Raw genomic sequence first — 27304 nt, forward strand, 5'->3', positions numbered from 1 at the left:
TCAGTCTCCGACGGCCACAGGTGGGTATGCTGAGCAGACAGCGGCTTGGGCACCAGATCTCAAAAAAGAAGAAAAGGCAGACAAGGCAAAGGCTGCTGGCAGCCAATATCCATTTCCCCGCCGACTAACAGAAATCCTACTGTATTCGGAGCGGCAGTGCACCCAGCAGCTAGTTCAAAGACACCTTTCCTGATGGTGTGAGCCATATGATTACGTTCTAGACAACAAGATGTTACAGGGATATGTGTGGAACTTGCAGGAAGCTGCTGGAAGAGACTGATTTAGCCGAAAGGTACACTATCCACACTGCCCTTGTTCCTCCTTCTGTTGCTGGTTTGGAGAGTTGATGGGATGGCTGGAGCCCCAGCAGCCATCCTGAACCATGAGGTGAGCTGAGGATAGAAGCCACCACTGAAGACAGCTGAGCAGAAAGCTGGGAGTCCAGGTCACTGAGGGCACAGTGGAGCCCACCCCAGGAAGGTCTACCTCGGGACGTTTTCACAAGCTGGGAGTCCAGGTCACTGAGGGCACAGTGGAGCCCACCCCAGGAAGGTCTACCTCGGGACGTTTTCACAAGCTGGGAGTCCAGGTCACTGAGGGCACAGTGGAGCCCACCCCAGGAAGGTCTACCTCGGGGCGTTTTTACATAAAAGAAAGAAAAAGTGCCAAATGCAATTTGAGCCTCTGTTACTTGGTTTTTCTATTATCTGCAGTCAAACCTAAGGTAACTGACCCAGGTGATCTTCCCTGACGTCCCCGCTTCGGTGCTTTTCCTCTGACTGTCACCGTCCTTCTCAGGCTCCTTGGTGAAATCTTCTTTCTCTACCCATCCCTTAAAAATTGCTGTTCCCATGGAGGGGAACGTCACACACTGGGGCCTGTTGGAGGGTGGAGGGCAAGGGGAGGGAGAGCATTAGGACAAATACCTAATGCACGAGGGGCTTAAAACCTAGATGACAGGGCCAGGCACAGGGGCTCACGCCTGTAATCCCAGCACTGTGGGAGGCCGAGGCGGGCGGATCATCTGAGGTCAGGAGATCAAGACCATACTGGCCAATATGGTGAAGCCATACTGGCTACAAAAAAATTAGCCAGGCGTGGTGGTTGGCGCCTGTTGTCCCAGCTACTTAGGAGGCTGAGGCAGAAGAATGGTGTGGACCCAGGAGGCGGGGCTTGCAGTGAGCTGAGATCGCGACACTGCACTCCAGACTGGGCGACAGATCAAGACTCCGTCTCAAAAAAACAAAAACAAAAACAAGAACAAAAAAAGATTCATGCACTTCAGCAAATGTTGGGCTCCAGTGAGTGACATGCTGGAGTGAAGTGTACAACTCTCTGCAACTTACTCCGAAATACATAAAAAATAAGATGGGCTGAACGCGGTGGCTCACACCTGTAATCCCAGCACTTTGGGAGGCCGAGGCAGGTGGATCACGAGGTTAGGAGTTCAAGAACAGCCTGGCCAACATGGTGAAACCCCCTCTCTACTAAAAATACAAAAATTAGCTGGGTGCGATGGCGGGTGCCTGTAATCCCAGCAACTTGGGAGGCTGAGGCAGGAGAACTGCTTGAACCCGGGAGGTGGGGGTTGTGATGAGCTGAGATTGCACCATTGCACGCCAGCCTGGGTGACAGAGTGAGACTCTGTCTCGAAACAACCAACCAACCAACAACAAAAAAACCAAGATGGAATGATGATGTTCAGAGGGATGGAAAGATGGACAGCTGTGTGATAAAGCAAGCGCATAAAAATCATCACTGGGAACGTTAGACAGCAGGTGAATGGGTGTTCACTGTGAATTCTTTCAACTTTTCTGTGTGCTTACAATTGTTCATGATAAAATGGTGGTGGTGGCAGGGACTGGTACTCGCCAGCTTCCATCAACCTCGCATCACCTTCCTCTCCCGAATTGTGTTCCTGCTCCCGGAAGAAGTCAGGTCTGCAGACTCCTGGGCATCTCCACCTTTAGGAGCCTCAAACGCAGCCTTTTCCCAAAGACCACACACGTAGGGAACCTGGGAGCCATTCTAGATGCCTCCACATTCCCGCCCCTCATCTCCTGCACTGTGAGGCATCCCCGCTCCTCCCCACCCTCACCAACTCTTACAAGGACAATTCCAGCACCCTCCCCACAGCAGCCGGGTCACAAATCAGACCGTGTTGCCCCCCATTCACTTAGGGACACAGCCCCGCTCCTCAGCTCAAGGCCCTTTGTGGTCTGCACCTGCTCCACCTCTCCAGGGTCCTATTCTCCTGCCCTGTGACATCGGACTCCTTCTAGCTCCCTGCGGTGGGTTCAGTAGTGGCCCCCCCACAAGGTATGTCCAGATTCTAATTCCTGGGACCTGGGAATGTGACCTTATTTGGAAAACATTCTTTGTAGATGTGAATAAATGAAGGGTCTCAAGATGAGATCATTGTCGATTAACCGGTGGGTCCTAAATCCAATGCTGTGTCCCTATGGAAAGAGAAAGGGGGAAAACACAGACAGAAGAGAAGACAGAGGCAAGGTTTGGACTGGGGCTGCCACCAACCAAGGAATGCCTGGAGCCACCAGACACTGAAAGAGGGGAGTAAGTGGGAACTCTGCCCCGGCAGCCTGGGGAGGGGCTGGGACTTTGATTTCAGACTTCTGGTCTTCAGACTGCGAGAGCATCGATTTCTGCTGTTCTAAGCCATCAAGTTCATGGCAATCTCTAATGGCAGCATTAAGCCACAAATGCAGCGCCTGACACGCACACAGCTCTCCCCTTTGCACACCAAATGCAGTGCCTGCCACGCACACAGCTCGCCCCTTTGCACACCAAATGCAGTGCCTGCCACGCGCACAGCTCCCCCCTCTTTGCACACCAAATGCAGTGCCTGCCACGCGCACAGCTCCCCCCTTTGCACACCAAATGCAGTGCCTGCCACGCACACAGCTCCCCCCTCTTTGCACACCAAATGCAGTGCCTGCCACGCACACAGCTCCCCCCTTTGCACACCAAATGCAGTGCCTGCCACGCACACAGCTCCCCCCTTTGCACACCAAATGCAGTGCCTGACACGCACACAGCTCCCCCCTTTGCACACCAAATGCAGTGCCTGACACGCACACAGCTCCCCCCTTTGCACACCAAATGCAGTGCCTGCCACGCGCACAGCTCCCCCCTCTTTGCACACCAAATGCAGTGCCTGCCACGCGCACAGCTCCCCCCTTTGCACACCAAATGCAGTGCCTGCCACGCGCACAGCTCCCCCTCTTTGCACACCAAATGCAGTGCCTGCCACGCACACAGCTCCCCCCTTTGCACACCAAATGCAGTGCCTGACACGCACACAGCTCCCCCCTTTGCACACCAAATGCAGTGCCTGACACGCACACAGCTCCCCCTTTGCACACCAAATGCAGTGCCTGCCACGCGCACAGCTCCCCCCTTTGCACACCAAATGCAGTGCCTGCCACGCGCAGAGCTCCCCCCTCTTTGCACACCAAATGCAGTGCCTGCCACGCGCACAGCTCCCCCCCTTTGCACACCAAATGCAGTGCCTGCCACGCGCACAGCTCCCCCCCTTTGCACACCAAATGCAGTGCCTGCCACGCGCACAGCTCCCCCCTCTTTGCACACCAAATGCAGTGCCTGCCACGCGCACAGCTCCCCCCTCTTTGCACACCAAATGCAGTGCCTGCCACGCGCACAGCTCCCCCCTCTTTGCACACCAAATGCAGTGCCTGCCACGCACACAGCTCCCCCCTCTTTGCACACACTGCTCCCGTGCCTAGAAAACCCTCCTTGCTGGGCGCGGTGGCTCACGCCTGTCATCCCATCACTATGATGTGGGGCATCCTCCAAGGCAGGAGGATCACTTGAGCCCAGGAGTTTGAGACCAGCCTGGCCAACATAAGGAGACTCTGTCTCTATGAACACACACACACACAAAGACACGCACACACACACATACACATATATATATACCTCTCCTTACCCCTTGTCCACCTGGTGAAATCCTGTTTTGCCCTCAAATCTGCCTCATCTGTGCCCTCTCCCAGGAACTTTCCTGTATTCTACATATTATGATAATACTTGAATACCGAAAGCACTTTTTTTTTTTTTTTTTTTGAGATGGAGTCTCGCTCTGTCACCCAGGCTGGAATGCATTGGCACGATCTCAGCTCACTGCAACCTCCACCTGCCAGGTTCAAGCGATTCTCCCGTCTCAGCCTCCCGAGTAGCTGGGATTATAGGCATGCACCACCATGCCTGGCTAATTGTTGTATTTTTAGTAAAGACGGGGTTTCACCGTGTTAGCCGGGATGGTCTCCAACTCCTGACCTTGTGATCCACCCACCTCGGCCTCCCAAAGTGCTGGGATTACAGGCGTGAGCCACCACACCTGGCCAATAAAGCACTTTTACAAGCCAATGAGAAAAGATGAAAACCTCAACTTTCTAAATGTGTAAGGGAAATGAACAGAAAATTTAAAAGAGAACTACAAATATTCAAAATGCATTAAAAAGAATGTTAACCTCATTTGTAATGAAAGAAAATGTAAAGTTCTATATAGTTTTCACTGTTCGTGTCAAATTGGCAAGGATTTTAAGATAATAATAACAATATCCAGAGCTGTCAGGGCATAGGTACTCACAGAAACTCTTGGAGGCTGCCTATAACTGGCACAACTTTGGCTGGGCACAGTGGCTCACGCCTGTAACCCCAGGTCTTTGGGAGGCCGAAGTGGACGGATCACCTGAGGTCAGGAGTTCGAGACCAGGCTGACCCACACGGAGAAACCCCATCTCTACTAAAATACAAAATTAGCCAGGCGTGGTAGCACATGCCTATAATCCCAGCTACTTGGGAAGGCTGAGGCAGGATAATCGCTTGAACCTGGGAGGTGGAGGTTGCGGTGAGCCAAGATCACAACATTGCTCTCCAGCCTTGGCAGCAAGAGCAAAACTCCGTCTCGAAAAAAAAAAAAAAAGTTGGCCCAACTTTTCTAGAGTCAATCTGGTAACTGGTATCAAAAGGTTTAGTGGTTGGTACAGTTTATACCCAGCGTAATAAGATTATGATCTATGATACTAGTTATAAATGAACATAAAAATAAAGTTGTAAGTCACAGGGCTGTCTGTAAGTGTGAAATATTAAAAACAACCTGAATTATGAGACTGGTTGAGTCAATTATGGTTTTTCTACAAGATGGGCTGCTATATAGCATTAAAAACTATATGGATGATGAATAGCATCTTATCAAGTGCAAAAAGAGATTAATAACAATAATTAAAGTATGTTACAATGTCTGAAAAAAGTAAAAACATACGTGCATAGAAAAAAGACTGGAAGGCTACAACACAAAATCATTAGAGCCTTCCGATTCTGGAAATTTTGAAAAAATTAATGTACGGTCTCTGCGCTCTAGGGCACTGGCAGACACCCGACACCCGTCTTCCCTTCTTCCTTGCTTACTCTACCCTCGTTTTCTAGGAAGTGGCAACAGACCAGTCCCAGGCAAGATACCCGCTTTCTCTGCCTCTCTCATTACCAGGAACGGCTGCCCTACACCATTCTGGCCACTGAGACCCAAGTGAAGCATGCTGGGACCTCTGGCAAGGCCCTGACTTTGATGATTACAAAGAGACATTTTGCCTTGAACTCATGGGTGATGATTGGAGTTACGGTGGCTTTACTGCTGCCACCAGGAACAGGTCAAGAAAGAACAGAGGCCGGGCGCGTGGCTCATGCCTGTCATCCCAGCAATTTGGGAGGCCAAGGCGGGCAGATCACCTGAGGTCAGGAGTTCGAGACCAGCCTGGGCAAGATGGTGAAACCCCATCTCTACAGAAACTACAAAAATTAGCCGGGTGGTGACTCACGCCTGTAATCCCAGCACTTTGGGAGGCTGAGGCAGGTGGATCACCTGAGGTCAGAAGTTTGAGACCAGCCTGCTCAACATGATGAAACCCCGTCTGTACTAAAAATACAAAAATTAGCCAGGTATGGTTGCACACACCTGTAATCCCAGCTACGCAGGAGGCTGAGGCAGGAGATCACTTGAACCCAGGAGGCAGAGGTTGCAGTGAGCTGAGATTGTAGCACTGCACTCCAGCCGGGGCAACAGAGCAAGACTCCCTCTCAAAAAAATAAAAATTAATTAATTAAATTAAATTAAATAAATAAAAGAACAGAGCCATTTCCCTCATGCTGTTCAGCTGAGCCACACTAGGAAGAGCCTGTCTCATTTCCTGCTCATGGGAAATACAAGTCCCTATATATTGGGTTTTCTGCTGCTTACAATGAACACATTTCCAAATGATATCCTCACAGCCCAGAGAGGAAGCGAGTCCAATCAGCAATCAAATCTCCGAGATGCTACGACAGAGGCCTCAAAGGCCCGGCAAGGCGGACCGGAGGGTGTGGGCAACACTCGGGGAGGGGAGGTGGCTGGGGAGGCTTTGGTGCCACGCTAAGGAAGACAGTTCATCGCTGTGGCTGAGAGCAGGGACCCTGCGGTCCGGCAGCGGAGGTTCCAGCCCACGCTCTGGCACTTCCTAACCTCTCTGTGCCTCCGAGGAGTGCCTGGCACAGGGTGGCTGCTACTAAATGGATACGGGTTTAGCAAATCCGTGTGAAACGGGGGACGACACAGGATCAAGTGCACGGGCCGCTGCGGGGGTTAAACTGGATGACACGCATACGGCACTTAGCACATAGGAAGCACCCAATCCATCTCAGCTGCTATTATTACTGTTATTAATTGGATCTTGAAAGCTGTGTGGGTGCCTGCCAGGCGGGTGGGGGACAGGAGCAGAGTTTCAGGCGGTGAGAGGAGGCTTGGCAGTGGCACCCAGTGGGAAACAGCAGGGCCCCTGGAGGGGACTATAAATAGCCAGGAGGGCTAGAACACAGAGTGAGCAGAGGGGGAGAGGGCCGTGCTGGAGAGGAGGCAGGGACTTGCTCCTGAGAGCCTCGTGAGCTGAGCCGAGAGCCGTGCAGGACTCAGTGAGGATGGGTGACCTGGCCCATGATCCTCTGCAGGCTCTTGCCGGCCACATCATTGCTGAATATTGCTAACTTTATTTTTTATTCTTTTTCTTTTTGTCTTTTTTTTTTTTTTTTGAGACAGAGTTTCACTCTTGTTGCCCAGGCTGGAGCGACACCCTCCAGCCTGTCGCAAGGGTGATACAGAGGCTGACTGTTAAGTGATAAACTTATTTTCTGCCCAAGAATTGAGGATGGGAATGAGAGAGGGAAGAGCAGCTGAGGGAGCCCAGCCCTGACCATTATTCCACCAAAGCTGCATCAAAAGTCTTCAGAGAGGCCAGGTGCGGTGTCTCACACCTGTAATCCCAGCACTGTGGGAGGCTGGAGCAGGCAGATCACCGGAGGTCAGGAGTTTGAGACCAGCCTGGTCAACATGGTGAAAGCCTGTCTCTACTAAAAATACAAAAATCAGCTGGGCTTGGTGGCAGGTGCCTGTAATCCCAGCTATTCGGGGGGCTGAGGCAGGAGATTCACTTGAACCCGGGAGGCGGAGGTTGCAGTGAGGCAAGATTGGGCCACTGCACTCCAGCCTGGGTGACAGAGCAAGGCTCTGTCTCAAAAAAAATAAACAAATAAAGTCAGGTAATGTGATTCTTCCAGTTTTGTTATTTTTGTTTTGGTTCCATATAAATTTTAGCATTTTTTTTTTTCTATTTCTGTGAAGAATACCATTGTTTGAGCATTACTCCTAAAGTCCCTGGGATATTCAGAATGGTCAGTGAGCACTGGTTTAAAGTCACCCCTGCACTGGCCCCTAACACTAGAGTCAGCCTGTCCTTCTGTCCTTTGAAACTTCGAAGCCAGGCACGGATCCCTTTTCTAGGATGAAAGTCCTACATATGTCTTCTTCCAATAGAAGGCTGTTTTGTCTACATTGAAAATCTGATCTGTTTTGTTTTTGTTTTGTTTGGTTTTGTTGTTGTTGTTTGAAATAGAGTCTGGCTCTGTTGCCCAGGCTGGAGTGCAATGGCGCGATCTCAGCTCACTGCAAGCTCCACCTCCCAGGTTCAAGTGATTCTCTTGCCTCAGCCTCCTGAGTAGCTGGGATTACAGATGTGCACCACCAGGCCTGGCTGATTTTTGTATTTTTAGTAAAGACAGGGTTTCACCATGTAGGCCAGGCTGATCTTGAACTCCTGACCTCAAGTGATCCACCCACCTCGGCCTCCCACAGTGCTGGGATTACAGGCGTGAGCCACCGCGCCTGGCCAAAAATCTGATGTTTAGTGCGGTGACCTTCCTTTACAGTCTTTGCTACATCTTCTGCACAACTGGCCGCAGCTTCTCCATCCGTACTTGCTGCTTCACTTTGCCTTTTTCTGTTATGAAAGCGGCTTCTTTCCTGACCCCTCATGAACAAATCTCTGCCAGCTTCAAACTTTCCTCTGCAGCTTCCTCACCTCTCTCAGCCTTCACAGACTTGCAGAGTGCGAGGGCCTTGCTCTGGATTGGGCTCCGGCTCAGGGGAACGTTGTGGCTGGTTTGATCTTTATCCGACCACTCAAACTTTCTCCATATCAGCAGTGGGGCTGTTTCCCTTATCATTCTTGTGTTCACTGGAGAAGCACTTTGAATTTCCTTAAAACACTTTTCCTGTGTGTTCACAATTTGGCTAACTGGTAGGAGAGGCTCCGCTTCCAGCCTATCTTGGCTTTCAACAAGCCTTCCTCACTACACTAAATCATTTCTTTTTTCTCTCTCTCTCTCTCTTTCTCTCTTCCTTCTCTCTCTCCCTCTTTCTTTCTTTTCTAGACAGTCTCTATCACCCAGGCTGGAGTGCAGCGGCACAATCTCAGCTCACTGCAACCTCTGCCTCCCAGGTTCAAGTGAGTCTCCCACCTCAGACTCCTGAGTAGCTGGAATTACAGGCGCCCGCCACCACGCCCGGCTAATTTCTCTATTTTTAGTAGCGATGGGGTTTCACCATGTTGGCCAGGCTGGTCTTGAACTCCTGACCTCGTGATCTGCCCGCCTCGGCCTCCCAAAGTGCTGGGATTACAGGCGTGAGCCACCGAGCCCGGGCTAAACTGAACCATTTCTAGCTTTTGATTTAAAGTGACAGACGCACACCTCGAGGCCACTGTAGGGTTACTCACTGGACTAACTTGGATATTTTTGTGTCTCAGGGAATAGGGAGGCTGGAGCGGGGAGAGGAGAGAGGCTGGGAAAGGCTGGTGGGCGGAACAGCCAGAACACACAACGTTCATAGATGAAGGTTGCCGGGTCCGGTCTGTGGTGCCCAAAACAATGACAATGCTAACATGGAGGATCGCTGATCACAGATCACTGTAACAGGTGTCATAACAATAAAAAAGTCTGAAAGATCGTGAGAACCACCAACACGTAACACAGAGAGAATGCGAGGTGGCCACACACTTCCAACTGGTGAAAAAAAACGCAGCATCTTTGAAGCTCAACTAAGCATGGAGGTGCCGTAAAGCGAGGTACGCCTGCACATGAGTGCCGTAAAGCAAGGTACGCCCGCATCACAGGAGTGCCGTAAAGCGAGGTATGCCTGCACCGCAGGAGGCTATTTACTTTAGGTTGGAGCAAAGGTAATATATAATGGTAAAAACCACAATTACTTTTTTTTTTTTTTTGAGACGGGGTCTCACTCTGTCACCCAGGCTGGAGAGCAGTGGCACAATTTCGGCTCACTGCAACCTCCGCCTCCTGGGTTCAAGCAATTCTCCTGCCTCAGCCTCCTGAGTAGCTGGGATTACAGGTGCCCACCACCAACACCCGGCTAATTTTTTTTTTTTTTTAGTAGAGATGGGGTTTCAGCATGTTGGCCAGGTTGGTCTCAAGCTCCTGACCTCAGGTGATCCACCCGCCTCAGCCTCCCAAAGTGCTGGGATTACAGGTGTGACCCACCACGTCCAGCTCTCAACTACTTTTGCACCAGCCTAAATACAAAGCTCAAGAACAGGCGAAACAAATGGATGGTGATAGAAGTCCATGGCAGTGGCTTTCTGGGGGTGGACGACGGGGACAGGGAGTGTTGGCTGGGAAGGGGCAGGAAGCAACTTTCCAGGACACTGAAGATGTTCCATATCTTGATCTGGGTGTTAGTTACACAAGCAGACATATGGAAATATTCACCAAGCTCTATGCTTAAGACTGGTGCACTTGAAAAGCTTTTTTTTGTTTTTTGATTTTTGTTTTTTGTTTTTTTTAGAGACAGAGTCTCGCTCTGTTGCCCAGGCTGGAGTGCAGTGGCACAAACATAGCTCATTGCAGCCTCAAACTCCTGGGCTCAGATGATCCCCCTGCCTCAGCCTCCCAAGTAGCTGAGACCACAGGCATGCACAACCATGCCTGGCTGATTCGAAAAAGTTTTTGTAGACACAGGGTCTTGCTATGTGGGCCGGGCTGGTCTTGAACTCCTGGCCTCAAAGAGTCCTCCACTTTGGCCTCCCAAAGTGCTGGGATTATAGGCATGAGCCACCACACTCTGCCTGAAAAACTTCTTAAAAATTTAAAATCTAAGTTGTACTGTTGCAGGAAACTGAGGACCGGAGAGACCGATATGGAGAAGGGAAGGACTGTTTATTTTAGGTATGCACTAGCTCAGTGGATTTGCATTTAAAAAGCTTAGCATTGAATAAAGACAGAATGGGGTTTTTATAAGCAGACTTCACAAAAGTAAAACAAAAGCAGTTAATCATATAGTGCATAACTTGTGGCTTGTAGCTGTGTCAAAAGAAAAACAAGGACTGGCTAAATCCAGACATTTGTAAACACAGTTATGCTTAGGAAGCCAGGGAAAGGAGTAACAGTAAAGGAATTTCTCTTTCTTTTTTCCTTCAACCTTGCTCTAAAAGGCGGGTGTGTGGAGCCCATTTCTTTAGCCTTGGCTTCTTAAACAGCGTTATCTTATAACTCCTTAAAGTGAGCTTGCTAGGCAGAAAAAAAAAGAGGTTTTTTTTGTTCCTTTGTTTTTTGTTTTTTGAGATGGAGTCTCGCTCTGTCGCCCAGGCTGGAGTGCAGTGGCGCCATCTCGGCTCACTGCAAGCTCCGCCTCCCGGGTTCAAGCCATTCTCCTGCCTCAGCCTCCCGAGTAGCTGGGACTACAGGTGCCTGCCATCATGCCCGGCTAATTTTTTTGTATTTTTAGTAGAGACAGGGTTTCACCGTGTTAGCCAAGATGGTCTCCATCTCCTGACCTCGTGATCCACCCGCCTCGGCCTCCCAAAATGCTGGGATTACAGGCGTGAGCCACCGTGCCCGGCCTGTTTTTTTTTTCTTTTTAACCCTTGCCTTGCCTGTTACTTTTCTTGGAGTAAATACATACATATTTGTTTTTAAATTTCTGCCTCCGTACCATTATGACTCATTTACAATGGAGGAAATGAAAGCGCAGGGAGTTAAGTTACTCGCCCAAGATTTCACGGCAGTCAGGTGGGAAACCAGATGGACACAGGTCATCCAACTCCACAACCTTTGCTCTTAAAATGTTATCATATGTAGGACTCATACAAATACCAAACACGAAGTGTGTGGGCTGCCCTGAGGGGTTCATATGGAAGAAACAACCAGTCACAGAGCGTGAGGAAGGAAAAGGTCCATTTGCGGCAGGGTATCAGCGTGCAGAATGGGGGCAGGACGCAGGAGGTTGGCCCTGATGAACAGACTGGTACCACTGAAGCCGAGCTCTGGAGGGGTCAGACTGCAGAGGGCCTGGAACACTATCCTGAATAGTCAGATTTCACGCACGCTGGGAGCCACGGATGCCAAAATGGCAAGGTGATTTCAGAGGTGACTTCAGGAAAACGAAGCTGACTGTGGTGCATGAGATGATGTGGAACGGGGCAAACCGCCCCTCCGTGCTTTGTCAAAGGTGACCATGGTGGGAACCAAGGGCAAAGTCTGGCGATGGGAGAGTTGACTGAAAATGCGGCCACAGCAGGGTCCTCTGGGCTTGGAGGGCTGAGCGATGGACAGGAAGGGGGAGCTGGTTCCGGGGGAACAGACCCTAAGTCCAGGTGGAGACATGTCTGGACTGAGAAGACTCATGGCCATCCCTGTCAGAAGATCCAACGGGCAGCCAGACAGCAGAGTCTGGACCACAGGTGTGGATCTGGGAGGCCGGCAACCCTGAACCAGGGAACTGGCCAGCGGAAGCGAGGCTGCCACTTCCCAGGTGCCACCTGTACCAGATCAGCCTGTCCGGGGCAATTTCAGCAGGGATGGTGGCTCAGATACAAAATCTACCACCTCACCTACAACAATAAGGACACTGTCTTCTACTGCACTTTATTTTATTGATTTATTTATTTTTGGAGACGAAGTCTCAATCTGTCACCCAGGCTGGAGTGCAGTGGTGGGATCTCAGCTCACTGCAACCTCCGCCTCCCAGGTTCAAGCAATTCTCCTGTCTCAGCCTCCCAAGTAGCTGGGATCACAGGCACCCGCCACCATGCCCGGCTAATTTTTGTATTTTTAGTAGAGATGGGGTTTCACCATGTTGGCCAGGCTGGTCTCGAACTCCTGACCTCAAGTGATCCGCCCACCTCGGCTTCCCAAAGTGCTGAGATGACAAGTGTGAGCCACCGCGCCCGGCCAGTCTTCTATTGCACTGGGAGGCAGAGGTTGCAGTGAGCTGAGATCGCACCACAGCACTCCAGCCTGGGTGACAGAGTGAGACTGTCTCAAAGAAACAAGATGAGGATAACGATACCATGTCACAGGGTGGTTGTGAAAATGACATTAAATAACATGATGTAGGTTAAAGAACTGGGCACAGTATCAGGGCAGAAGGGTCCTTGGGAAAGCTCAGCTGAAGCCGAGTGGGTGTCGTAGGCAACGGGAAAGTAGACACCTTCAGGGTCCAGGTGACCCCAGCTGATCCAGGAGATATTTAATACCATCGGGAGCCCCTCAGTCAGGGCCTGGCTCCAAGGGGAGGAATCCTGGAAACCAGCATCTTTCCCACGGGACAAGCCACCTCCTTCTCAGGGCCCCCCATTCTTTGATTGATGGAGCAGAGGTTGGGGAGCCAGGACAGCTCAGTGGTCAAGGGCAGAGGCTTTGGAATCACACTCGGGTTCCATTCCTGAGATTAGCACTTCGGGAATGTGACCTTAGCCATGTGACCTTGGGCAAGCTACTTAGCCATTCAGAGCCTCAGTTTTCTCATCTCTAAAATGAGGATAAAAACAAGATCTATACCTCATGAAGCTTTTGCGAGGTTACAATGAGGAAATATATGCTATGCAAGGCACCCAAAGCTGGCGCTAACAAAACGGCAGCTATTATCATTATTCCCCTGCTCTCCTTCCTGAGTACCAAGAACCCTTAGGGACCTCCCAGCCCTTAAAAAACAAACCAGGGCTTTGGCAATTTGCAGTGAGTTAAGACTACAGCAAGCTTTGTCAGCTAACTCTGCTGTTCATCAGTCAGCCTCCATTCAGCACAGGCTGGTGGACTAGTTACGACTTAAATTCTTTTTTTTTTTGGAGACAGAGTCTTGCTCTGTCTCCCACGCTAGAGTACAATGGCACAATCTTGGCTCACTGCAACCTCCACCTCCCCGGTTCAAGCAATTCTCCTGCCTCAGTCTCCTGAGTAGCTGGGATTACAGGTGCCCGCCACCACGCCCGGATAATTTTGTATTTTTAGTAGAGGTAGGGTTTCACCATGTTAGCCAGGATGGTCTCAAACTCCTGACCTCAGGTGATCCACCTGCCTCGGCCTCCCAAAGTGCTGGGATTACAGGTGTGAGCCACTGCGCCCGGCCAGTTCATGACTTGAATCCTAAGATAACTGTTCCAATCTTCACTGCACACTGGAATCCCTGGGGAGTTGGGAAGCTCTCTGGCTCCTACCCCAGGGATTGCTACTGAATTGGTATGGAATGGCCTGGGCATCAGGCCTGTTAAAAGCTCCCCAGGTGACTCTAATGTATAGGAAGGCCAAGAGCCGCCAGGTTCAGACAGGGACACTGAAGTGAGCGTCTTTACAACCAAATGGAACTAAGACTCTTGCTGGGCACAGTGGCTCACGCCTGTCATCCCAGCACTTTGGGAGGCCGAGGCAGGCGGATCACCTGAAGTCGAGAGTTCGAGACCAGCCTGGCCAACATAGAGAAACCCCGTCTCTACTAAAAATATAAAAATTAGCCGGGTATGGTGACAGATGTCTGTAATCCCAGCTACTCGGGGGGCTGAGGCAGGAGAATCGCTTGAACCCGGGAGGCGGATGTTGCAGTGAGCTGAGATCACACCATTGCACTCCAGCCTGGGCGATAAGAGCGAAACTCCATCTCAAAAAAAAAAAAAAAATACTCTGAAGCAGCCTATGAAGCCATCAGCCAGGCGCGTGATCAATTCAGCCAGCACAGGGAAGGCTGCCCGGAAGAGGCAGGGCTTGTCCTCAGTCTTGGGGACTGTGGGATTCGCTGGGGAAGAGAAGACAAGACGGACGGAAAGGGCTTTGCTCTGATTGTGAACCACAGACAGGCAGGGGTGGGTGGGGGTCGGCCCCTGTCTCATTCACTCAGGACCCTCGGCCTGGCCTGTAGCAGCCACTGGGAGCACAGACAGCGCCACCCTCACCCCGAGGCCTGGAGCCCCTCATTAGCCCAGCAAAGCGGCAACTGGAGGCCGGGCAGAGGCTGTGGGGCAGCTCACTCCTGGGAGGAAGCTCACTCCTGGGGGACAGCTCGCTCCTGGGGGACAGCTCATTCCTGGGGACAGCTCGCTCCTGGGGGACAGCTCATTCCTGGGGGGCAGCTCGCTCCTGGGGGGCAGCTCGCTCCTGGGGGACAGCTCATTCCTGGGGGACAGCTCGCTCCTGGGGGGCAGCTCGCTCCTGGGGGACAGCTCATTCCTGGGGGACAGCTCGCTCCTGGGGGGCAGCTCGCTCCTGGGGGACAGCTCATTCCTGGGGGACAGCTCGCTCCTGGGGGGCAGCTCGCTCCTGGGGGACAGCTCATTCCTGGGGGACAGCTCGCTCCTGGGGGACAGCTCGCTCCTGGGGGGCAGCTCGCTCCTGGGGGACAGCTCATTCCTGGGGGACAGCTCACTCCTGGGGGGCAGCTCGCTCCTGGGGGACAGCTCATTCCTGGGGGACAGCTCGCTCCTGGGGGGCAGCTCGCTCCTGGGGGACAGCTCATTCCTGGGGGACAGCTCGCTCCTGGGGGGCAGCTCATTCCTGGGGGGCAGCTCGCTCCTGGGGGGCAGCTCGCTCCTGGGGGACAGCTCGCTCCTGGGGGACAGCTCATTCCTGGGGGACAGCTGCTGTTGCAGGAGTTGTTTGCTCCGGCTCTGCCTCCACTGCTGGGAACAGACTCGAGGCCCCACCATGGGCGGGTGTTATGGCCTCTCTGGTTGCCATGGAGATGAAATCCAATCATCCACCTCCAAGATCCTTGGAAGAGGGAGGCAGAGACCGTAGCCGCCTGGAGAAGTGGCCGCCTGGAGAAGCTCAGGGCTCCACAGCCTGAGACAAAGGAATCATAGTTCTTGGACATCAAGGGCAGAGGCTGAGGCCCAGGGTGTCAGGGTGGCCAGCAGCCCTGGGCAGAGAAGCGCATGTGGCTTCACCAGTCTCCAGCTCTTGGGGATGGATGGGACATGCTGAGTATTATCTGCGCAGTGTTTTACACGGTGAGCCCACGGCCAGGATCTCATTTCATCCCCACAGCCCAGGGAGGTTGTCAAAGTAGCTATGAATGGCCCCCTTTGACACGGGGGAAAACTGAGGCTTCTGAGTCTCATCCAAGGCCACCTGGCTGAGAAACAGCTGAGCCACAGATTAAAGCTACTCTTTGCACCAAGGCCATTGTTTCCTGCGATTTGACAAAATCCCCCCACCTTGGCAGAGGGAACTAAAATTCCTCATCTCTCTGTAGGAAAGACAGTTATGTGCCCACCGAACATAGAGGAATCATATTGCAGACGGGCCGTATAACCTTGCCATGATACGACGAAAGCTGACGGCATGTGTACGCAAGCAACAGCCACTCAACAAACATCTCCTAAGCTATCACACACCAGATGCAGGGGCGGGCACAGACTCCAGCACCCCCAGCTCCGTTACGAGTCGCCCATGGAAAGGCAACGGGATTCAACGAGGTGGGCATGGGGCCAGGAGGCAGATCTGGGTCCCGCGTCCAGACCTAATCTCTAGGTGCCGCCACTTCCTTATCTGTAAAATGGGCAAGACACAGCTGCCCTGCGCAGTTCACAGGGCTGCCCCTGTGGAGTGACAAGAGATACCAGATAAAAAGAGCATTTCACAAACAATAACGCGTTCAGTCAATCAGGCAAAAAAAAAAAAAGGGGCAGGGGCCAGGCTCAGTGGCTCACGCCTGCAATCCCAGCACTTTGGGAGGCTGAGGTGGGTGGATCACCTGAGGTCAGGAGTTCGAGACCAGCCTGGTCAACATGGTGAAGCCCCGTCTCTACTAAAAATACAAAAATTAGGGCTGGGTGCAGTGGCTTCTGCCTGTAATCCCAGCACTTTGGGAGGCCGGGGCGGGCAGATCACCTGAGGTCAGGAGTTTGAGACCAACATGGTGAAACCCTATCTCTGCTAAAAATACAAAAATTAGCTGGGTGTGTGGCGGGCCCCTGTAATTCCAGCTACTCGGGAGGCTGTGGCAGGAGAATCACTTGAACCCAGGAGGTGGAGGTTGCAGTAGGCCAGATGGTGCCACGGCACTCCAGCCTGGGTGACAGAGTGAGACTCTGTCTCAAAAAAAATAAATAAATAAAAATAAAGGAAAAAAAGAAAGAAAATAAATCCTCTACAAAGAAAGCAAGTCTGAGTTCGTTTGGGTTATCGGTATATTCTGTCTTCCCCGCGAGGTGGTGGCCCTCTTCTGCTCACTGCCTGTTATTTGTGGCGCCCAGGACAGGACTCACGCAGAGCCAATGCTCAGTAACTGCTGGCTGAGTGATACGATCTCCTAATAATCCTCCTCATCTCTTCCCATAACAACCAATTCAATTATTTAGGGTCTGGGGGCCAGGAAGTCCTTCTGACAAATCCCATAGGAGTTCTAACCCTTATTAGAGTTAACAGCTTCAGCCTACTTCCTGCTTCCCCTCCGAACCTCCTCAAGAATTGATAACAAGTAATAATCCTGGGCTGATTTGATTTAAGGCTCTGCTCTTCCTCCTGTCTTTCCCTGTGGGAAATGCCACTCAGCCCCAGAGCTGCAGAAGGCGGGTGGCCAGGAGGCGATGACCTGGGAGGACCTTTCAATCCAACGGTGCTCACCACCTGCCTGGGATGGCCTCCTCGGAGCCCCCCTCCCATCTATGGCTTTGTAAGTCCTTAGGGTATTTATGAAAAATTAAATGACAATCTAGTGCTGAGAAGTAGGAAGAGGCAATTCAGAGAACAGACAAGTAATGCCAGGTCCAGAGAGGCCAGCAAGACTCTCAAAGCAGCCCTGCAGGGTGGCAGCAGCCAGGACCAGGATGCACGACCCCTGCCTTCCACCCCAGGGTGCCCTTCAATCCCAGAGCCACGCAGCTCCGGGCTCCTGCCCCTGTCCGCAGAAGTCGCCCAAGGCGTCCACTTGCACCCCTTCACACATACACCTGCAGAAGCAGCCGCACCTCTGCCCAGTGCTGCTGGGTGGCCACGTTCACTGGCCTTCGGCTCAAAATGCTGGCTCTCCACCCAGAGCCTTCCTGGGCCTTAAACATAATTCTACTGTTGAACTGGGCTGTCACAGAGTGCCTCAAAAGTCACCTCCTTCTCCCCACTCCCAGCTCCAGAGCACCGGTGACTGTGACTTCCACTTCCAATGTCTTGTGTCATTCAAGGAGGGCAGGTAAGAGGACGTGCCCAGGTTAGCCTCTTCCTTGGACATTCGACGTCACCATTCCTCCAGAGTGGTGCAAAGCTAGGTGTGCGCGGAGCTGGGGAAGGGCAAAAGCCCAGCCAGCTTGTCTCTGCTTGTTTCTATCCACGCAGGCACATGGAGACACACACACACACACACACACACACACACACACACATCACATCCTTGTGGCCCCACCACCTCTGGCCCCCACACTCCATTCAGCCCCCGGCCTCTCTGCTGCCATAAGCACCCTCCTACCAGCAAGCACAGCCATCACTTGGAGGCTGTGGTCCTGAGCTCTGGCTTCCCCAAAGGTGAAACGGAATGATAGGATTGTTGTGGGGATTCCATGAGATGACGTCTGTAAACAGCTCAGCACAGTGCGGGGCACATGAAGATGACCATGATTCTGCCACTTCCCCTAGAAGTCAGTTACACCCAAGTCCCTTCAGTGCCCAGACACCTGCCACCATGCCACCACTGCCACATGACACCACTGCCACCACTGCCACATGCCACCACTGCCACATGCCACCACTGCCACCAGGCCACCACTGCCACACGACACCACTGCCACCATGCCACCACTGCCACTACTGCCACCATTGCCACACGACACCACTGCCACCACTGCCACATGACACCACTGCCACCAGGCCACCACTGCCACCATGCCACCACTGCCACCAGGCCACCACTGCCACACGACACCACTGCCACCAGGCCACCACTGCCACCACTGCCACCATTGCTACATGACACCACTGCCGCCACTGCCACCACTGCCACCATGACACCACTGCCCTGGCCACAGAGCAGGCTCAAGGGCCTTCATCCTTCACATAAGCCACCTGCCACTATGTGGTCAACACGACCAGTGCCCAGCAATATCCCCATCCTCCTGTCTTTCTGGGCACATGGAAGGCCGTACTGTCTGGCCACTTGGCAGTCCCTGGGCAGGGCCAGGTGCTCAGTCCTGGCTAACAAACTGTAAGTGGACATGACAAGTATCATTTCACGGCTGAACAGTGAAAAATTACACACAGCTCTTTCTCCCTTTCTCCTCCCTCTGTGACCCTTGGAGGCCACATATTCCAAATGGTGCAGTCTCCATCAGGCTGGGTCCCGGCATGACCACGGGGAGCAGAGCCCCCCGTCTACCAGGACCACTGTGAGCAAGCAGCAGCTTGCTTGTGTTAAGTGATGAGGATTTCAGCAGTAATTTGTGGGGGGTTTTGGTTGTTTTTTTTTTTTTTGACACAGAGTCTCACTCTGTCGCCCAGCCTGGAGTGCAGTGGCACAATCTTGGCTCACTGCAACCTCTGCCTCCTGAGTTCAAGTGAGTCTCCTGCCTCAGCCTCCTGAGTAGCTGGGATTACAGTCACCCACTACCACACTCAGCTAATTTTTATATTTTTAGTAGAGATGGGATTTCCCAATGTTGGCCAGGCTGGTCTCAAACTCCTGACCTCAGGTGACCCACCCGCCTCAGCCTCCCAAAGTGCCGGGATTAGTGTGAGCTACCACGCCCGGCCTTCAGCATTAATTTGGTTCTACGGCATGACCGGCTACCCTAACACCCTGCTCCCACTCAGCCCTTCCATGTATGCTCAGAAGGCCAACCCCAGCCTCACGGAAGCTCCACACACACTTCCCAACACAGCACCTGACAGTCCTTTCTCCTAACCCCACCCACGCCAGCCTCATGGCAAGCTGCAGCCGCCCTTTTCCCATTCAGGAGAGAAGCAGAAACCCAGCACCCTCTTCTGGGGAAAGACGGGAAAGCAAGGTGGAATGTCTTCCAGCAAGTAAGTAAGTGCCAGGAGCACCAACGGCTTAGTGTTGGGTAGAAGCTGGCACCTGAGGGCCACGCCTTCCCAGCCAGCATGATGGCCCCAGGCTGGTCAATGACCCACCCACTCTCCCCAGGCTGGTCAATGGGCCCACCCCACGGTAAGCTTCAAGGATGGCCTGCTTGCTGCTGATGAGTGAAGTAAGCCCAAAGGTTGTCGGGGAAATACCCGCATTCCTAAGAGCATTATTGACACTTGCCAAAAAACAGAAACACCTCAAGTGTCTATGGGTGGATGAATGGATACACAAAACGCGGCCTTTACATAAAACGGATATTATTCGGCTTATATTCCGACACAGGCCAATTCTGACATCGATGAACCTTGGGGGCATTAGGCTACGTGAAAGAAGCTGGTCACAGAAAGGCAAATACCACATGATTCCACTCGGATGAGGTGCTTAGAGCAGTTAGATTCATCAAGTCAGAAAGTAGGAGGGTGGTGGCCAGGAGCTGGGGGCTGGAGAAACGGGGAGCTGTTGTTCAATACAGGGGTCCCCAGCCCCCCCGGGCATGGACCGGCACCAGTCCGTGGCCTGTTGGGAACCAGGATGCACAGCCGGAGGTGAGTGGTGGGTGAGCAAGCGTCACCCCCTGAACCCCACTTCCCATCCGAGCAGCAGCGGCATTAGGTTCTCGTAGGAGCGTGAGCCCTGTCGTGATCTGCGCGTGCGAGGGATCGCAGTTCCATCCCGAAAGCGCTCCCCACCCTTCCCCGGTCCGTGGAAAAAGTGTCTTCCACGAAGCCGGTCCCTGGTGCGCTGGTTTCACAGATGCGGAGTCTCAGTTTAGCCAGGTGAGAGTTCCGGAGATGACGGTGCTGATGGCCGCACCAGAGTGTGAACGTGCCTCGGGCCACTGATGCGTACACTGGATGGAAAATTTTAGGCATGTGTATTTTGCCATGATTTTCTTTTGTTTTTTGTTTTTGTTTTTGTTTTTTTTGAGACAGAGTCTCACTCTGTCACCCAGGCTGGAGTGCAGTGGCGCCATCTCGGCTCACTGCAAGCTCCGCCTCCTGGGTTCACGCCATTCTCCTGCCTCAGCCTCCCAAGTAGCTGGGACGACAGGTGCCTGCCACCATGCCTGGCTAAATTTTTTTGTATTTTTAGTAGAGACGGGGTTTCACCGTGTTAGCCGGGATGGTCTCGATCTCCTGACCTCGTGGTCCACCCACCTCGGCCTCCCAAAGTGCTGGGATTACAGGCGTGAGCTACCTAGCGCCCGGCCTATTTTGCCATAATTTAAAAAAATAGAATAAAATCTAAATTTAAAAAAAAAGTAGACAGGAAAGGAGTAATACCAGGGACAGAGACCCCCCCATGGGTATCGACAGGAGGCCAGGGGGCTGAACCAGGCCTGGAGCCCACCCAGCTTCTGAAGAGGGGTTGGGAGTCACCTTCTGAATTACAAAGGAAGATCCCACCTCCAGAATTCATTTCTGGTTTTAGTTTTTTTTTTTTTTTTTGAGACAGAATCTCACTCTGTCACCCAGGCTGGAGTGCGGTGGTGTGATCTCAGCAACTTCCACCTCCCGGGTTCAAGAGATTCTCCTGTCTCAGCCTCCCGAGTAGGTGGGATTACAGGCATGCACCACCACACCCAGCTAATTTTTGTATTTTTAGTAGAGATGGGGTTTCACCATGTTGGCCAGCTGGTCTCGAACTCCTGACCTCAGGTGATCTACCCACCTTAGCCTCTCAAAGTGCTGGGGTTACAGGCGTGAGGCACTGTGCCCGGCCCAGAGCTCATTTCTGTTTTGCCGCCAACTCCCTGGCACAAGACGAGCTCAGCTCGGCCATAGGTAGGGGTTGCCGGGCACCTGTCAGCTCCAAATGCCAGGAGCCAGGCTCTCCGAATTCCACTCCCAGTTTTAGCTGTGTGTCCTGGGGCAAGTTGCTTCATCTCTCTGTGCTTTAGTGTCCTCATTTGTCAAATGAAGATAATAACATAACAACATCATCCCATGCAGCTTTTGTGACAGTTGAATGAGTTAGTCCAGGCGAAGTTCTAAGAACAGGGCCTGGCACGTGGTATAACGTTAGTGGCTGTTATTGTCGTCACTGACGTTGTCACTGCTGTTGTCCCTGTTGTTATGATTTCTCCCCATAGTCCCGGCCTGGGAGAGACACCGAGAGGAAGGCCAGCTTGCCCGGTGTCTTCTCAAGGGCTGACACACTTCTCAAAGCGCTGAGATTACAGACGTGAGCCACCGCGCCCGGCCTGTGTCAGAATTTTTTTTGTTACCCACCTGACAAAGCTCTTCATCTTGCTAAAGATAACAGAGCACTTGGCCAAGCCAGCGCGATGTCTGCACTCAGATCTCCTCTCTCATCTTTTGCCCACAATGGGAAAGGAGGTAAGAAGTCTGTGTTCCGGGTGTGCTGAGCACTTGCTGTGTGCTGGGAGTTGCGGTAGACACTGTCCTGTATGATTCCACTCTGAAGAGGTGCTCAGAGCAGTCAGATTCGTCCAGACACAAAGAGGAGGGTGGTGGCCAGGAGCTGCAAGCAGCGGCACACGTGTGGGCAATACACAGGTTGCCCAAGCGCCGAGAGAGGCCCAGGAGGACGGGCCCCGGGCATGGCAAGCGCACTGCCCCCTCTCACTCCTCCGGCGGCCGCCGTCCACTCCCAGTCCTAGATCTGAGCTCCTTCCTGGGAGTCCAGGGCCCTTCACAAGTTTGGGTGAACACTCCTGGTACACGGTCTGTGGTAACATCCTGCACGGCTCTAAACCAGAGGCAACAGGGCACCCCACCCACTGGGAACCACGCGAGCAGGGAGGGACGAAGGGAGGAGCATCACGCACACAGACGCCGGACTCCCTAGGTTCTGCAAACCCAGCCATCAACACACAGAGGCCCACGAGCCCATTCCTGAGCCTCCCTCCCTTGCTGAGCTACTGGTGCGCGTATGTGTGCATATATATACACATGTGCACACACACACTCCTGGGGGTGAGGAGGTCACGTATGCAACTTGCTGTCATCTTTCTAAAAGGTAAGAATGGAGGCAGGAGAACATTTGATTCAGAGCTCATGCTCTGCAGCCAGACTGACTGGGTCTGAATCACAGGCTCCACCCCTTACCAGCTGTGTGACCTTGGGCAAGTCACATAACCTCTCTGTGCCTCTGTTTTACCTTCAACATGGAGTAACAGTAGCACCCAAGTTCACAGGGTTTCTGTGAGGATGAAACGAGTAAACATCTAAAGCACACCGAAGAGAGGATTAGTTCCTATTACCACACCTCAGAAGCTCAGCAAGTCAGATCTCATGACTGCCAGGCTCTCACAGAGGCCCTGGTTCCCCTCTGGCTCTACGTCTTATTTCCCTGGACCAGTTCCCTAAAGCCCTGTCTGCTGAGAACTCATCTGACAATTCATCCTAATCCCTAGAGGGCCCCAAGCAAAAATCCCAAGCTCAGTTCCTGCACCCAGGCTAGGCTTGGTCAGTGTCCAGCCCTGCCCTCCCCAACTGCTTCCTGGGCGTGACACCCTCAACGCCCCCACCTCTCTCATTCTGCCATTTAGAAACCACAAAGGGCCTCGGTCAGCCACTCCCCACCTCAAAGCCGCGTTCTTCCCTGCGGAGAGATTGTCATGGTTTTTCCAGCAGGGGATGGAGAAGTGTGTTTCTTCACAGGACATCCTGAGAATGCCTGATTCTGGGGATGGCTGACATCCTACAGAGCCCTGGACAGGAAGCCCAAGGATTTAGGTTGAACCCTTTTTGGGCAGGTCACTTCAACTCTCTGGCTGCCCGATCCGGCTCTTCTGCAAAACAGGAACATCACTGCCTCCTCCCCAAGTGAGGGAGAGGATACAATAGAAAGACAGGACATCCATCCCGGCTAACACGAGGAAACTCCGTCTCTACTAAAAATACAAAAAAGTTAGCCGGGCGTGGTGATGAGCGCCTGTAGTCCCAGCACTTTGAGAGGCCGAAGCAGGTGGATCACGAGGTCAGGAGATCGAGACCATCCTGGCTAACACGGGGAAACCCCGCCTCTACTAAAAATACAAAAAAGTTAGCCAGGCGTGGTGGTGAGCACCTGTAGTCCCAGCACTTTGGGAGGCCAAAGCAGGTGGATCACGAGGTCAGGAAATCGAGACCATCCTGGTTAACACGGGGAAACCCCGTCTCTACTAAAAATACAAAAAAGTTAGCTAGGTGTGGTGGCAGGTGCCTGTAGTCCCATCTACTCGGGAGGCTGAGGCAGGAGAATGGCGTGAACCTAGAGCTTGCAGTGAGCCGAGATCGCGCCACTGCGCTCCAGCCTGGGCTACAGAGCGAGACTCTGTCTCAAAAAAAAAAAAAAAAAGACAGGACAGGCTGGGCTGGTGGCTGATGCCTGTAATCCCAGCACTTTGGGAGGCTGAGGTGGGTGGATCACCTGAGGTCAGGAGTTTGAGACCAGCCTGGTCAACATGGGGAAACCCCATCTCTACTAAAAATACAAAAAATTAGCCGGGCGTGGTGGTGCGTGCCTGTAATCTCAGCTACTCGGGAGGCTGAAGCAGAAGAATCACTTGAGTCCAGGAGGTGGAAGTTACAGTGAGCCGAGATCGCGCCACTGCACTCCAGCCTGGAGAACAAGAGTGAAACTCTGTCTCAAAAAAAAAAAAAGACAGGACAGTGTCTACTACAACTCCCGGCACACAACAAGTGCTCAGCACACCTGGAACACAGACTTTTTACCTCCTTTCCCGTTGTAGGCAAAAGATGAGAGAGGAGATCTGAACCCAGGCATTGCACTGGCTTGGCCAAGCGCTCTGTTATCTTTAGCAAGATGATGAGCTTTGTCACGTGGTTAACAAAAAAAATTCTGACACAGGCCGGGCGCGGTGGGTCATGCCTGTAATCCCAGCACTTTGGGAGGCCAAGGTGGGTGGATCACATGAGGTCAGGAGTTTGAGACCAGCCTGGCCAACACAGTGAAACCTGTCTCTACTGACAATACAAAATTAGCCAGGCATGGTGGTGCACGCCTGTAGTCCCAGCTACTTGGGCTGAGGCAGGAGAATCGCCTGAACCAATGAGCCGAGATTGCACCATTGCACTCCAGCCTGAGCAACAAGAGTGAAACTCCGTTAAAAAAAAAATTTTTGACACAGCCTGGGCAGGTTTAATCAGCTGTGATCCAGAGCCGCCCTCTGTTCTGGGAGATGGGGACCAGTCTGGACCCCTTTCTTGCCCCATCATCAGGTGCACTTGGTCAAATCCCCACCATACCCCTTCCCCCACAACTAGGCAGAAGGACCAAGGAAGGCCCCCTGACACTACATGGGCCTGGCGTGGCCCCCTGTGTCCCTCAGTCATACCCCCCAGCCTGGCCAATGCCCAGATGGCTTTTGGGACAGTGCCCATCATGCCCCCCAGCAGATGGCACACCTGCGGGAGGGCTGGGGATCCAGGCACACCTGCGGGAGGGCTGGGGGTCCAGGCACACCTGCGGGAGGGCTGGGGGTCCAGGCACACCTGCGGGAGGGCTGGGGGTCCAGGCACACCTACGGGAGGGCTGGGGGTCCAGGCACACCTGCGGGGAGGGCTGGGGACCCAGGCACACCTGCGGGAGGGCTGGGGGTCCAGGCACACCTGCGGGAGGGCTGGGGACCCAGGCACACCTGCGGGAGGGCTGGGGGTCCAGGCACACCTACGGGAGGGCTGGGGACCCAGGCACACCTGCGGGAGGGCTGGGGGTCCAGGCACACCTGCGGGAGGGCTGGGGGTCCAGGCACACCTACGGGAGGGCTGGGGGTCCAGGCACACCTGCGGGAGGGCTGGGGGTCCAGGCACACCTGCGGGAGGGCTGGGGGTCCAGGCACACCTACGGGAGGGCTGGGTCCAGGTCTACCGAACCTGTCAGCCTGTCACACGCATCACATGGTGAGAAAACCTCGCCCGGCAACCATCTCATCCTTCTCACTGGTTTGAAGCCTGGTGGTCACCATAGCAACAGGCTCCCGCTCCAGCCTGCCAGGCGGGGCTGATGCAATTCTCGGCAGCGAGCAGCTCCAACTCAGCTCACATGGCTCTGCTCCCACTCGGGGGCGGGCGCGTGGGAGGACCAACGAAGAGGGAGGAGGTGGGCACGCAGCCCACAGAAATCTCAGCTTCCCCCAGTTCTGCTCCGAGGACTGGGTCTAAGGGACGAGGGCCAGGAACTGAGCAGCGGGTTCACCTCCCAGGTCCTTCATGATCCTGGTGTCCCTGCCGCGGCTGCCACTTCTGGGAGATTCATCTCTAAGGCCTCAGGGGACCTGGGGGATCGGGAGACAGGCTGTACCATGGCGTCTCCACCACCACACGGTCCCCTCCCCGCCTGCACCCCACAAGCTGGGCACCCCCACTTCCCGGGGCCCACGGGCAGCCCGGACCTTCAGAATTCAACAGGTGCAGCTTACAGTTCCCGTCCCGTGGTGCTGCCTGCCCTGGTTGCATTAAAGTGCTCATAAAGCCCAGAATCCTCCTGCAAACCAAAATATCTCCATGGTGCCGGCCAGCCCCTTCCTCCCAGCTTTCCATCCCACTCCACAAGGGTGTCTGGCTGCCCTGGGGAGTGTTACCTCCTCTGCACGGAAGGCACACTAGCTGAGAGCCCGTTCAAGCATCCACATCCCCCAATTTCATGGAACGAGCACACAGAAAGGATGGGGGTCACCTCGTCCTGCCTGCCCGCCCACCCCCCACACACTGCGGACACAGGGAAGGAAGCCACAGGACAAGAGCTTGGCAATGCCGTGTCCTCAGGGCTCCGGCGCCTACCCATGGATGTAGTGCTCGCCCTCCCAAGGCCGGTGTCCTGGTGACGATGCCACTAGTGCCAAGAATGCTTCCCTCCTGCAGGCCCCGCTCCCTTCCCCATTCCAGCAGCCACTTCCCACCCTGCATTTGTTCCCTCCTACCTGGCCCTCACCAAGGCATCCACCCAATCCTGGCGGGGCCTCAGCACAAACAGGGCCTGCTCTGGGACCGTGCCTCCTGCCAGGACGCTGTGCCAGGAGGAGGGATCTGCAGATCCCTTCCCGGGCGCCCTGGGGGCCAGCCAGTCACACTGGGCCCTCTCTGTGGTCGCCTCGATGCCTGTGGGAAGTGATTAGCTCTGAGGCCACTTGAGAGATGGTGTTCAGCTCTGGGATGTCCCAGCAATGTGTACTATGGGAGCCTCCAGGATGACTGGAGCAGATGGGCAAAGAAGGTAAACTGTCAGGCTGGGGGCATCTTTCCAGACACACAGATCCACGGAGTCACGTTGAGTGAGTCCAGAAAGGAACCCACATATCTATGGTCGACGGATTGTCAACAAGGGCACCAAGACCCTTCATGGGGAAAGAAGAATCTTTTCACCAAATGGTGCTGGGACAACCAGATTGCCACATGTAAAAGTTGAACTTTTACTTTCTACCATATTCAAAAAATAACTCTAAATGGATCAAAGACCTAAATGTAACAGCTAAAGCTAAACAACATGTAGAAGAAAACCTGGGGGTAGATCTTCATGGTCTTGGACTTGGCAAAGGATTCTTACATACGACACCAGAAGCACAAGCAACAGAGAGCACGGGGGAACCGCACGTCATCAATGAACACTTCTTTGCTTCAAAGGACCCCATCAAGAAAG

At 53.3% G+C, this 27304-nt stretch overlaps 1 protein-coding gene and 1 long non-coding RNA gene across 4 annotated transcripts in view, besides 3 other annotated features; both read right to left on the minus strand.

The window, feature by feature from the left end:
• The window catches only part of ABR (ABR activator of RhoGEF and GTPase), a 226204-nt gene that overhangs the window by 124777 nt on the left and 74123 nt on the right, over nucleotides 1-27304 (minus strand). The gene's annotated exons all lie outside the window — the stretch shown is intronic.
• Nucleotides 19585-20084: an enhancer, noted in NCBI's record as "H3K4me1 hESC enhancer chr17:1051001-1051500 (GRCh37/hg19 assembly coordinates)". NCBI's record gives its function as "activates a minimal SCP1, AML or CMV promoter by ChIP-STARR-seq in naive H9 embryonic stem cells {active_cell/tissue: H9 hESC(naive)}" and the evidence as "EXISTENCE:reporter gene assay evidence [ECO:0000049][PMID:30033119]".
• Nucleotides 19940-23596, minus strand: LOC105371480 (uncharacterized). The gene is made up of 2 exons (XR_001753073.3): nucleotides 21371-23596; nucleotides 19940-20549 (listed from the first exon to the last, which is right to left on the minus strand). It is a non-coding gene; the product is annotated as an uncharacterized LOC105371480 (long non-coding RNA).
• Nucleotides 25249-25778: an enhancer, noted in NCBI's record as "H3K27ac-H3K4me1 hESC enhancer chr17:1056837-1057366 (GRCh37/hg19 assembly coordinates)". NCBI's record gives its function as "activates a minimal SCP1, AML or CMV promoter by ChIP-STARR-seq in naive H9 embryonic stem cells {active_cell/tissue: H9 hESC(naive)}" and the evidence as "EXISTENCE:reporter gene assay evidence [ECO:0000049][PMID:30033119]".
• Nucleotides 25779-26309: an enhancer, noted in NCBI's record as "H3K27ac-H3K4me1 hESC enhancer chr17:1057367-1057897 (GRCh37/hg19 assembly coordinates)". NCBI's record gives its function as "activates a minimal SCP1, AML or CMV promoter by ChIP-STARR-seq in naive H9 embryonic stem cells {active_cell/tissue: H9 hESC(naive)}" and the evidence as "EXISTENCE:reporter gene assay evidence [ECO:0000049][PMID:30033119]".

Source organism: Homo sapiens, chromosome 17 (assembly GCF_000001405.40).
Source record: "Homo sapiens chromosome 17, GRCh38.p14 Primary Assembly".
Taxonomy (NCBI): Eukaryota; Metazoa; Chordata; class Mammalia; order Primates; family Hominidae; genus Homo; species Homo sapiens.